This window comes from Homo sapiens, chromosome 4, assembly GCF_000001405.40.
Source record: "Homo sapiens chromosome 4, GRCh38.p14 Primary Assembly".
In the NCBI taxonomy this organism is placed as follows: Eukaryota; Metazoa; Chordata; class Mammalia; order Primates; family Hominidae; genus Homo; species Homo sapiens.
Window position 1 is genome coordinate 61616830 of NC_000004.12, and position 13383 is coordinate 61630212.

General features: G+C 34.6%; 1 protein-coding gene across 59 annotated transcripts in view; it reads left to right on the forward strand.

Moving 5' to 3' along the window:
- Positions 1-13383, forward strand: part of ADGRL3 (adhesion G protein-coupled receptor L3) — an 878010-nt gene that overhangs the window by 416504 nt on the left and 448123 nt on the right. The gene's annotated exons all lie outside the window — the stretch shown is intronic.

Sequence of the window (13383 nt, forward strand, 5' to 3'; positions counted from 1 at the left end):
TTTTTTTTAGAAGTGGGGTCTTGTTATGTTGCCCAGCCTGATCTCAAACTCCTGGCCTCGAGCAATACTTCTGCCTCAGCCTCCCAATTTGCTAGGATTACAGGCAAGAGCCACTGGGGCCAGCCAGTAATGTTATTAATTTGAATGGATTCTTAATATTTATACAAGATCCTATAATTTCTGATTTATCCTTAAAATAATTTTTTATATTTGTGGTACAGTGAACACTCCTTATATTTATTCCATTTAATGAAAATCCAGACTATAATTTCAGGGGTCCCTTCGTAGGCATAGGATTGATTAACTCTGATTCCTAAGATTTGGTCACGAAATTCAGGTGGTCTGCATTGTTCATTAGGATGACATTTTCCCCATATTTTAAATGTGTGAAAAGGTAACCTCACATATAAACAGAGTAGCATTTTCATTTAATAAGATTTTTATTAATTCCAATGTATGTTATTCAAGACAAATGGTAGCCTTTAGAATTTTTGGTGATTGATTTCATTCGTATTTTCCTTATTTTCTTCTCTCTCTTTTTTAAACATTTTCTTCACTGTACCTTTTTTGCACATTTCCTTAAGCATGGTAAAGTAAAAAAAACTTGCTTACTCTAAGCCATTTCATGAACACTATCTTTCCAGGTCTCTGATTCTTCTCATTATTTTCCGTGGTCACCAACTGGTTCTTGCACCTCTTAGATTTTTCCCAAAATTACTGCAAAGTTTCCTGTAAGAAAAACACCTCTGCAACTCAATTAGAAAGAACCTTCCTTGTTAAAGCTGCTCCACATGTATAAAATGGGATAAGTAAGAGGTAGCAAAAAATTCAAACAGCATCTGCTCCCAAATCAAGCCACTTCAATGTTTCTTGCACAGTAGCTCTAGTTTTTGTTTCTTGAAATCTGAATGTTATTTGCATTACTTGAATTCTGAAGACATGCTCCATATTTTCTTCCCTAAGCAAAATCCTCAACGTATTCTCTGTTAACATGTGTTATAAATCCTACTTGAATATCTATCTGCTTCCATTATCTAGCTAGGATTTTCTCTGACTGCTCTGTAGCAAGGAAATCAGAGTGCTTGTACTAGCAAATTTGCAGCAATGAACATAGGTTGGATAGCTACTGTTTGAAATATTTAATACTGGACTGAGTATTAGGGCTTCAATGACAGTAACACATTTGAGAGAGAGTCTAGTGGGGGATAAAGTCACATCAATAGATAATTTCAGTCTAATACTGTAAGCTCTGGAATTGAGGAATAATTGGGGTTATATTGGGATCCAGAAAGAGATTTATTGGTGCAACCTTAAAACCAAGGGAGAGTTTTCTGAAAAAGATGCTGCCTTGAAAAGTAAGTGGGTATGAATGTTTTCTAATAACAGAATCTCTGAGATTGGAAATAGAATGGGAGTAAGGAAAACTATGTTTTATCTTTTTATCTAGTAAAACACAGATTATCGTTAATGCTTGTTTCAAAATGTAATTTTATTATCCTTGTGAATTTCAATCAGACAAACCAAGATTGGGCATAAAGTTACTGTATCAGCTAGCTGTTTCTATGTAACAAATTGCCCCAACTTAGAGTCATAACAAATTTCTCACATTCACAATTCTGTTTGTCAGATGTGTGATTCTGATCTGATCTGGGCCTACTAGGCTGGGGTTTGATGGATCAAGTGTCCACACCAACATTTCTAGTGGTTGGCATTGATTAGTTTGGTTAGGGGAGGAGGGATCTTAGATGGGATTGCTTATCTTAGCTTTACTTGATCTCTGATTCACTAACATAACAGTCATGGTGGTCTCGAGGTTCCAATGAGCAGCAAGAAAGAGCAAGGCCAAATGTGCAAGCAGTTTTCAAGCCTATGATTTTTCCTTGTTCGTTTGTTTGTTTTGTTTTTGAGACAAAGTCTCACTCCATCACCCAAGCTGGAGTGTAATGGCAGGATCATAGCTCACTGGAACCTCAACCTCCCTGGGTCAAGTGACACTCCCTCCTCAGCCACTTAAGTAGTTGTGACTACAGGTGCATGCCACAATACGCAGCTAATTTTTGTGTGTTTTTTGTGGAGACAGGGTTTCTATGTTGCCCAGACTGGTCTCGAACTCCTGAACGCAAACCGTCTGCCCTCCTTGGGCCTCCCAAAGTACTGGGATTACAGGCATGAGCCACCATGCCAGGTCCCAAGTTTGTGTTTAAGTCACATTTTTTTAAATGAGCCTTTAGGCAAAGCAAATCACATGGCCAACTCTTGTAGAAGGCAAGTCACAGAGACAATTTGTGGAGAAAGAAGCAACATTTTTAAGAGAGTAGCTGCAAATTCACATTGAAAACAGAGTATACAGTAGGACAGAAACAACCGGTGGCTGTCTTTGTAATCTACCAGTTGTGCATAGACCGTACAAAGTTTTATCATGAGTATGTCAGCCTCCTCATGGATGTCCTTGTTTTGTCTACTTTTTTAAATTGTAATCTTTCATGAAAAACTTCCTCCAATACCTTTTTTTTCTAGTTTTAATTTATCAACTCTGTTAAGAAATCAGAGGCAAGAAAATTATTTTCTTTGGAAGGAGATATTGATATTATTTTTTAAAGAAATTTCCATGCTACTCAGCACAGACATTTGAAATGTTCCATTTTTGTTTCATTGCTTTATTGCTAGGTTTTTGGAGAATGTGAGATACACACACACACACACACACACACACACACACTCTAATCATAACCTCCTGTGTGTGTGTATTTATGTATTTGTTATACTTTCGATTTACAGCAACCTTTATGATATTTTTGATTCAGTTTTTCCCTGGTGTTCGAAGTACTTCTAGCTAGTAATTGAAACTCATAAGGTGGCTGGTTGCTGCTTTCTGGCCACCAGGGTGCCATTCACAGCAGAGCCACTGGAGCCACTGCAGTTCACACTTGAAAGTTCTGGGGACTGAAACTGATCTCATGTTTTTCTTTCTTTGTTCAATCCAGCTATATCAACCGTTTGAACTCTGTGTTATGGAGGAGGCAAATTTAATTTCTGGAGCTTACTGCTAGCTAAGCAAAAATGTGCAGCTTCTCATTCTTGTAACGGCAAATAGTTAAAATTTCATCTGTGTCAAGTTTCTTTTCTGGGAGTTTTTGTAAGTAAAAAGAGTAGAATTAGTGAGTAAAATCACGAATGAAAAATATTTAAATCTTATTAAGTAATTTAGGATACTTTTTCATATCTTTAGAAATATATATATATATATATGAAATAAGGCTGGCTTTATGCTTCTTCCTTTAAAAAAATGCGAGGGTATCTTTTATGAATAGGAATACTTCCCAGTAAATATAACAGATTAAACTCATATAACTAATTTCTCTACATTCTGAAACCTTTACTAAAATGACAATGAAGAGATTTTTAAGACATACATCCTAGGGCAATGGAAAGAACAAGACACAGGACAGGCGATAATAGCTAGACAGCTTTGGAAACTGGAAGGTAGATGGATGAGTGGTAACTAATTGAAGATACCTGAGAAACTTCAGATCTAAACTGATTTTGAGAAAAGCTTAAAATGACCTTCATCTGAATGTCTAAGGGAGTTATGGTACCAATGATGGCTTTTCCTGAGGTGGAAAATAAAATGAAAGTAAAGCTACTTTGTAAGTCAGACTCCGAAAGAAGCCTAGGTACTTGAAGCCGGGTACCAGTGTCTCTTTTATGCTTGGCACTCTCTTTCCTTCACTTCTTAAAGAAGTAGACAAACAATTTAGCTGGCTTTTCTAATCTGGTGTATGGTATATATAGTGTAAATTGTGACTTTTTTTTTTTTTTTTTTTTTTTTTGAGATGGAGTCTGGCTCTGTCGCCAGGCTGGAGTGCAGTGGTGCGATCTCGGCTTACTGCAACTTCTGCCTCTCGGGTTCAAGCGATTCTCCTGCCTCAGCCTCCCAAGTAGCTGGGACTACAGGCACTCGCCACCATGCCCAACTAATTTTTGTATTTTTAGTAGAGACGGGCTTCCACCATGTTGGCCAGGATGGTCTCCATCTCCTGACCTCGTGATCCACCCGCCTCTGCCTCCCAAAGTGCTGAGATTACAGGCGTGAGCCACAGCGCCCAGCCAATTGTGACCTTTTTTAAAGGATAGTTCTTTTCTGTATTATGAACAGATTTTATGATTATTATTTTATCGGCTTATTTGTTATTTTTGTTTGTTTTTTATTTGTTGTTTTGTTTTGTTTTAAACAATAAAGTATTTTTAGGACTCTTTAGAGGACTTACCTTATGGAACAAGTACATGTTGATAATAAACAATCTTATGGCTTTATTTAACTTTGATTAGTGTTTTTATATCCTTCTTTTTACATTTCTTACTTTCTTTTTTCTAGCTTCATTTTTTATCTGTATCCTGTCTCAATTATATAGTTTATTTTAGTAACATTGATGGATTGAGGCCTTGATGTTACAATGAAATTATCACAGATAAAATTTTTGTCTTGATTTTAAGCAGCAACAATGGTGATAAATACAACAATAGCATTCTTTCTAAGAAAGATATTACTATCTTCCCTTTCTCTAGCCAGCTGACCCCAGTATACAGTATCCTTGCTGCAAATTTCTTAGTGTTTAGAGTTGTTGGAGAACTTTATATGGTAAATTGGTAAAAACCTGAATGGAAAAGGAGAATTATTAATTTTGAATATTTTTAATTAATGAATGTTTAGTGTTGGGATATTATGTGTTAACACCTTGATCCTCTTCATTATCTTTTTAAAAAATACTATAATCTTAATATTAGTGAAAATCTTTGTAAATAACTGTTCTCGGTTTGACAAACATAGCCCTTTTTTTCCTCAGTAGGCTTATTTAGTTCTTCTAAACAGCTAATTTTCCTTTTACTTGTGGTCGTCAAGATAGCAGCGCTAATTAATTGAATAAAACAAGGACATTTTAGTGTTTTATTTCCTTTGTGGTTTTAATTTTTGCTATGAAATTTAAAATTAAAGAAGAAAAATAGTTATATGTCTCCTTTTTTGCCTTAAAAGGAGAAAAAGGCAATTAATCCCCACCTCCAGAATTAATTCATGTGAAGACTAAGGGTAGAAGAAATTATTGTTTTTGTCTATGCCTGTACTTGTAAGCAAAACTTTAGTCAGACAGTTAGACTGCAGTAATTACTCATCAAGAGCCTGCCTGCATGTCGGTAGCTGTGTTGGTATATTTATGGGTTGCTTTTAGTGATTTCTAAGAATTTACAGAACCAAGTTAGAGGCATGTGTACAGAACAAGGAAACTTTGGGGCTGAATTAAACATTTCAAATAAAAGTAGTCTTTTAAAGTAAAATTATATGCAACCATTGACCTGACAACAGTGAGCCAAATCTCTTCATTTTCATTTAAAATATTCTGTAAAGCTTCTATATTCAAAGTAAAATCCCACCATATGCAGACTATTCTATTAAAAAAAGAGAATGCTAATTAATACCAATATTGACATTATATCTATTGGATTAAACAAAAATGTCCATATAATGTTCTCACTGGGTGTTACAAAGGACACATATCCAACAATGAGAGGATGAACTTTTTGGAAAAAATGTCTTAATTTAACATTCTCATCATTGCCTCCCATTTTTCCAAATATTTTCTTATCAGTTTAGTCTGATCCATTAAGAATCTTTTTATACATGAGATGGAATAATAATAATTAAAGTAAAAATCATAATGATAAGAAGAAGGAGGAGGAAGAAGAAGAGACAACAATGAAGATGATGATGAAAAAAGAAAAAAGAACAGTTAACATTTGTGAAACATTTACTATGTGCTAGGCATTCTGGTGTGCACTTTATGTGGATTATCTCATTTAATCCCCATAAAAAATGGGTAGATACAAATTGTGTTTCTATTTTTAAAACGAGGAAAATTGATCTCAGAGGATTTGAATATTTTTTCTCAAAATCACATAGCTAGTAAGTAATAAATTTCAGATTGAATTCAAAGCAGTCATATTCAAGAACTCACTCTAACCATAACATTCTACTCCTTTCTCCTCAATGCCAAGTTTAGTCATATCATAAAGAAACTATTATAATGTCATCCTTTTCAGGAAAAATTAAGCAAAAAATGAGAAAACCACCTATTTCCTCATGAGTTTTTTTATTTCAGAGGGAAACAACGTTCAAAAAATTAATGTTCTAGAGGTCACATTAATAGACCGATAAATAGAAAATGGTTTTGAAATCTCTCTAACTTTAAAGTGTTTGCCTTTATAACCAAGCATTAATCTTTCCCACAATGGCCTGGAATAACACGTATACCAATTTGAAGAACTGACCCAGGCTCACTGACTTCAAACCTTATTCTGTTCTTGCTACCCTCTTTCATTTAGTCTTTGCCACATCTTCTTCCCTAAGTTCCTCAGTTGTTCTTGCTTCTCTTAGTTTAACCGTACACACTGTCCTGATAAAACCAGTTCTCACTCAGCAATGTCTTGACTTTCCAAGAGACCATCCCAATCAGTGTGCTTTGGTTCTTTCAAAAGTGGGTGCAACAAAACTTATCTTTAATTTTTTTTAAGAGAAAAGATTGTGTTCAAGCAGAAGTATGTAGTCACAGCCCTATAAATTTAAAATAATATGAATGAAAAACAGAAAATACTCTATCACCTTATTTTGTGAAGTTTGAATTTTAGGATGCAATCCTTTCAGAAATATTTCTGTTTAGTTTTCTCCAAAAATAAAACACATTTCATATTTCAAGAACTGATTCAGTCTCTCCCATCCTTACCTGTAATTTCCAGTAACTGGTAGGCAATTTGTACCTGACCTTAATTCTTACAGCAAGTATTTACTACATTCTTCATATGTGTTTGGCACTTACTAGGCTATAGGGAGTCTCTACTGAGGAAGGCAAACATTCAGATAATAACCCTAAGAAGTATATTATTAGTCTGATAGATGTCCTCTGAAAGCTAACCGTGTTACATAAGAGCACTTAATAAAGGAATGTGATCTAGTCTGAGGTGGTGGTGGTGGGTGTCATGTGTAACCCCTAAAAGGAACATGAACTGAAACCAAGGAGAACAGTCAGGAAGTGCTTGAAGGTGGAATGGAACTCAAGAAGAGGAAACAACATAGCCAAAAACCAGCCTTAAAGACTCCATTTAAAGTTTGTAACTGGCACTCAGAGTACATGGGGGTGAATAAAGAGTGATGCTAGAGATTCGGGCAAGTTTCAGATCATGCAAGGTCTTACTGGCTGCATGACAACATTTTGGCTTAAGCCTATAGATAGTAAAGATTTGCTGAATGGATTCAAGCAATGGTGAAAAACAGCCTATTCAATTTTCATTTTTAAGGAAATGAATGGCATAGTGAAAAGAGAAAAAAATAAAATCGATTTGCATTTTGAAGAGATATGGCTGTAGAGTGGATTTGATGGGCCAGAGTAGATATTCAAACTGGAGTCAGCAAACAGCTTTTATAGGTTATTAGAGTCTAAGGGAGCTATGATAGCATTTTAGACAATTAGTGAAGAATGGGATATAGAAAATGAGGCCATGAGATGTATTCTGGATGACTCCTGGGTTTTTTGGTTTATATTACTAGGTAGATCATAGTAAGAAAGAAAACCTGGAAGAAGAACAGTTTTGGGCAGAATATTCATTCAGCAAATATTTTATGAGTGCCAACTCAAGCCCTTCCCAACCAGGGTTCCTTGAAAGAATTAAGCCCTAAATGTCTCCTAAAATGTTTATTATATGTAACAAATTACTGCTTTCCTATGCATCTAGAATGATACCAGTCTTGTAATCCTTGGAAGAATTGAAAAAATAGTCCATAAAGTCATTTTATATAGAGTTTAATTGTTTTGTGGAACCCAGGTTGAGAAAGGCTGAGTTACTTTATGCCAGATATTCTACCTATGCTTTGAATCTAATGGATATGAGATGTCATTAAGAATTTGAAGTGAAGATAAACCATTGTCATAAGATTAACTATAATGATGTAATTTTATGTACTAAACTACCCCCAAAAGCAGCTTAAATATTTTGTTATATACAGTTAAGAAATCTATTTTTTAAAACTTATAAATTACTTTAAAATTACACTATTGTAGTAGATATGCCTCATTAATGTCCTCATTCTCAGTTACTTTAGGGACAATTTTTTTGCCTTGTATTAAAAAATGCAAATTATTTTGAAAAATTGCCTAGATAATGATACTGAACCAAAAAGAGCTGCAAATGTAGAACGTGAAATGTAGAAAATAAAACAATGTCATGTGAACTTTGACTCTTGTATGTAGTTACATTAAGGTTAAGTATTGTTTTTCATCCAGCCAAATCATTCAACGGTTATTTATTTAGTGCTTGGTGTATGCCAAGCAGTGTTCATGCCACTGAGATAAAGCAGTGAACAAACTAGATAAAGTGTATATGTTTGTGGGTGGGGTAGGCCATATTGCTCTTTATGTGGAGTGCTCAGAAAAGTTCAGTCATAAACATAATTGGTAGTATTTATTCCAAAAACTACATGAACTTAATGTATAAATATTAGATGCTTTAATGCTATTTTTTACTTGCTTTAGATAATAATGTTGTTAGAATAAAGCATATAAATATATGCACACATGTATATACATACATTCATACCAACATGAATTGGTGTATGTATATATATCAGCACATACATTCGTTACGTTGCTAATTTATAATTTCTCTCTATACAACCCTTACCTAGATATTTTCTACTTATTAATTTGAGTATTTTTGAATTTGAATATAGGCCATTTGTCCCTTCACATACCTTAGATTCCTAATGAGAGGTCAGACAAATATATAAAAATGCATAATACAAAGCTAAGAATTTGGATAGAGGTCAATACAGGGTGATACAGGATGACACTGGTAAATCATATGTCTCAGCATAATATGGTAAGGAAGACTTTACAGAGACAACTAAGCTTCTTAAAGGAGGAATAAAGATGAACAGAAGTGTGGGTGTTGGTATTCTAGGCATAACATTAAACTAATTTTGAGTAGTAAGTAAGTAAAGGGTGAAAACTGCATTCATTAGCAGTGTTCTCTTTTGCTCTATTTTATGTATTTCTGTATAGCATACAACCATGATTAAGTGTCTGCAAGTGTGTAACTATTAAGAACTCCTCAGTTTTTGCAGAGTAAATTAAATGCCATTATACTTTCTTAACACTCTACAGTTTAAAATATATATTTACATGGCTTTCTATTTGACCTTAAAATCAAATTAGAAAACCCCGGATAAAAATATTAAGTCATTTCTCACTTTAAAATCTACAAAAAAAAAATTTACTTTTTCATGTGATTTAAGGATTTATTTTTAAAATATTCCTGTATAGTGATTAAATTAATGTTTTACATAGTGACTTTTGTTTAAGTGTGTCTTTAGCTCTATTTCTTTTTCTCTAAATATCCATTTATTTGGATTAAACTGCTTATCGTCAAGTATTCATATTTTCATACAATTCATAATTCAGCCTATTTCTTCAAACGCAAAATTTAGGTAAGAACCAAGTTGGTGTTATTGACTGTATGCCATTTTTCATCTCCTCAAACATCTTTAAAGGTATTTTTTTCTCTTTTGATCTCTAATTTAATATCCTATTAGTACTGTCTACCCTATTGCAAAGTTGAAACGTGAAATTTCTTCTTTCTCAAGAGGGATGAAGCACAACAAAAACATTAATCACTAATTAAAAATTTAACTTTAAGCCCAAGGATATGTTTCCTAAGTTATGTTTATATAAATCCCTTATTTTATAATTGTATTTTCTATTATAACTTTATGAAGGAAAACTGGAAGTAGTTTGATGCTGATGAAAGAACCTAGTTTTAAAGTGATATAGACGTAAGTTCAGTAACAGCTTTTATTTATCAGTGAAATTATCTTTACATAATCCTCCTGAGTTCTACTATTTTAATCTCTAAAAGGAAATAATATTATCAAATTTTAACATATAGGTTTTTATGAAAATTAGATGAAATGTAATATACTACTCAGACGCTTCAGTGTATCTGACTTAGAGGTAGTGCACAGTTGTAGTTTCTTTTGAGTTCCTCTCCGTATTTTAAATTAAATGTCTGTCATTACATTTAACTATTAGGTTGATGTGAAAATAATTGTTGTTTTTGCCATTATTTTTAATACCTACAATAAGAGTATACTTCATCAATTCATAATTTTAATCTGGATTTGCTCCTTTTCAAATAAATTAAAATAACCCTCTACCCTTTATTGCCTCTGATTAATATTTTTATTATCAATTACCATTTCTCTGATGAATCATGAAACGTTGTATTACTAGTATTTTGCGGAATTTTGAACCTTTACTTGATCTTATATTAATTTTCCCTTATTTAAAATTTGTCTTTTCTACTTGTAGCTTGTGCAAAAAAAATAAACTTACTTTTTTTAGAAATGTTCATATATATTCCTTCAGAGTTGGCACAGTGGTAATTATTAATAATGAATAGTTAGCCGAATGTGGTGGCTCATGCCTGTAATCCCAACATTTTGGGAGGCAGAGGTGGGCGGATCACCTGAGGTCAGGAGTCCGATGACCAACCATGGTCTGGCCAACATGGTGAAACCCCCTCTCTACTAAAAATACAAAAATTAGCTGGGCATGGTGGCGGGTGCCTGTGATCCCAGCTACTCGGGAGGCTGAGGCAGGAGAATTGCTTGAACCTGGGAGGCGGAGGTTGCAGTGCGCTGTGATCATGCCACTGCACTCCAGCCTGGGCAACAGAGTGAGACTCAATCTAAAAAACAAACAAACAAATAAAGAAACACAAACAAACAAAAAAGTAAATAGTGCCTTTCAGTATATTGGAATTACAAAAGACTGCATTTTACAAAATAGAATAAATGGTAGGGTTTGGGTATTTCGAAGGGGATAGTACCCTTCTAAGTCCACCCTGCCTGCTTATATTGCCTTAATTTCCCAATTTTTTAAACCTCTCTTTTGCATTAAACTTTAAAAAAATATGAACACATTGCTTTGAAGATTATCTGAGTCACTGTCATATGTTTTGTGTTTGGGTGGGCTAGGGGATTGAGGAAATGAAAGGAGGACATTCAGAAATAAGGCTCTACAGATAGGCAGGGAGCAAACCTCAATAACAAGGATGCTTGGACCAAATGGGTTCGTGTTACAGAGTAACTCTCCTTGGAGTTAATTTAATAACATGATACACATTCTAATGATAATGGTAATAGTAATAATAATAGCAGCTAATACTTACATAACATGGTTATGTGCAAGGCTTGCTATTAATTTACTTAATTCTGTAACTACCCTTAAATATAAGTACTAATATTGTCTCCTATTACATTGTGGAAAAAAAACTGACACAGAGAGGTTTAATAACTTGGCCAAAAATTACACATCTATGAAGTGGTGAAGTCTGGAGACAAATGTGAGCAGTTCTGTCCTAGAGTCTCTCTGCTCCTCACTCTTACCCTGCACTGCCAATCTGATCAGCCTTGCTGGTCCTATCTACTGCTGACAGCTACGGTAACTTAATGATTAGTGGGATGAAAATAATGCATGTTTCAGATTCTTTGACAAAGTATTCACTTTAAGACAAAGAAGCTCTTAGAGAATAATGAGTATTTATAATGTGGTTTACCCATCACTGAGCTCATTCAGCAATTTCATTTAACATTTTTCATCTTACTAATGACAAGTTTAATTTAATTATAAATGAAGGGTATGAGTCTAAATCACAGTTTGACATATTAACCTCCCTACTTAGAAAGTTCTGGTATGGTTTCCTAGCATGGAAGATGGTTGGTTCTTTTCTCCTGCAGAAAAGATTACTCTTAGCATTTTTTTCATTCTTGTTCAGGTTTTGAGGGAAGTGTTCATTTCTTCTCAAAGAGAGGGCTGTAAAGATGGTGGGAACTGCTTTGCCGAAATTCAACTCATTCTGCTTCAAAATACAGCTCAGGGAGAGCCCTGTATAAGAATCTTAGCATTAAAGAAAATAAAATTGGACTTTGTTCTTGTTGACAGTATATAAAACCCCCAGAGAGTAAGTGCTGCCACAGGATAGTATTGGTACCTTCTGTTTACATAGCACCTATTTCTACAAAGCAAATACAGCTTCACTTGCATGACAGCCTCCCAGTCTCTGGGACCTGAAATCTTGCTACAGCACTAGGGTAACAAATCCATGCTGAGAAAACAAGTGAGACTTTGGTGAGAATGATATGCTTTGCAGAGAAGCAGGGTGAGAATTAGTGAAATTTGTCATATACAGATGGAGACTCTTTGGGAACCTCTTTCGCTTAAAAGTACTATGGAGATAGAAAAGATTCATTTTCATTTTCTGAAAGAACAACCTGGAACATTTGCAAATAATTGATGCTGATACTATTAGAAATCAGTAGAGAAAAATGTTTATCTTCTTGGCAATGTAGTGAGAGTAATTACACCCCTATTATTACTTACTTTGTAGACATGTATTTGCAGTTTAACAACATAAATCTATTCATCTTGTTTATTCAGGGCCATCAACTATTAGTATCTCAAGTTGTTCTATATGGTTTTTCTCCATTTTAAAAAAAAGTCCAAGTGGCCAGGCGCGGTGGTTCACGCCTGTAATCCCAGCACTATGGGAGGCCGAGGTGGGCGGGTCACGAGGTCAGGAGTTTAAGACCAGCCTGGCCAACATGGTAAAATCCCCTCTCTACTAAAAATACAAAAATTAGCTGGGTGTGGTAGTGGAAGCCTGTAATCCCAGCTACTCGGGAGGCTGAGGCAGGAGAATTGCTTAAACTGGGGAGGTGGAGTTTGCAGTGAGCTAAGATCACACCACTGCACTCCAGCCTAGGCGACAATGCAAGACTCCGTCTCGGGGCAAAAAAAAAAAAAAAAAAAAAAAAAAAAAAAAAAAAAAAAAAAAATTCCAAGTCATTTGGATTCATCCAAAAATTATAATGCAGACTGCCAGAATCACAGTCATTTGCATTGAACATGTGTCCTAATTGTATCCATGTGTTGGCATGATATTCTGTAGAGACTAATTCTAATCAATTCTGTCTAAACATTCTGGATTTCCCATCAATTACTATGCTAAGTCCTTGACACAATTCCTGCCAATCTTTGGGCAAATGCCTCCCAGTACTTCTATTTTAACACCCCAGAGTGCGAGCCATATGACAGATCTCTTCATCTATGTATTTTGCATGCACACTTTCTTTAAATGTGAAAGACTACCCCTATGAAATCAGCACTTCAAAGTTATTATGCTTTTCCTGGATTTTAGTGTACTGTATAGATTGGAACAGAGTATTATCCCAGTTTTCTGAACTGAATTGACCATTAAATTCTCATAGGGTTTATACACATG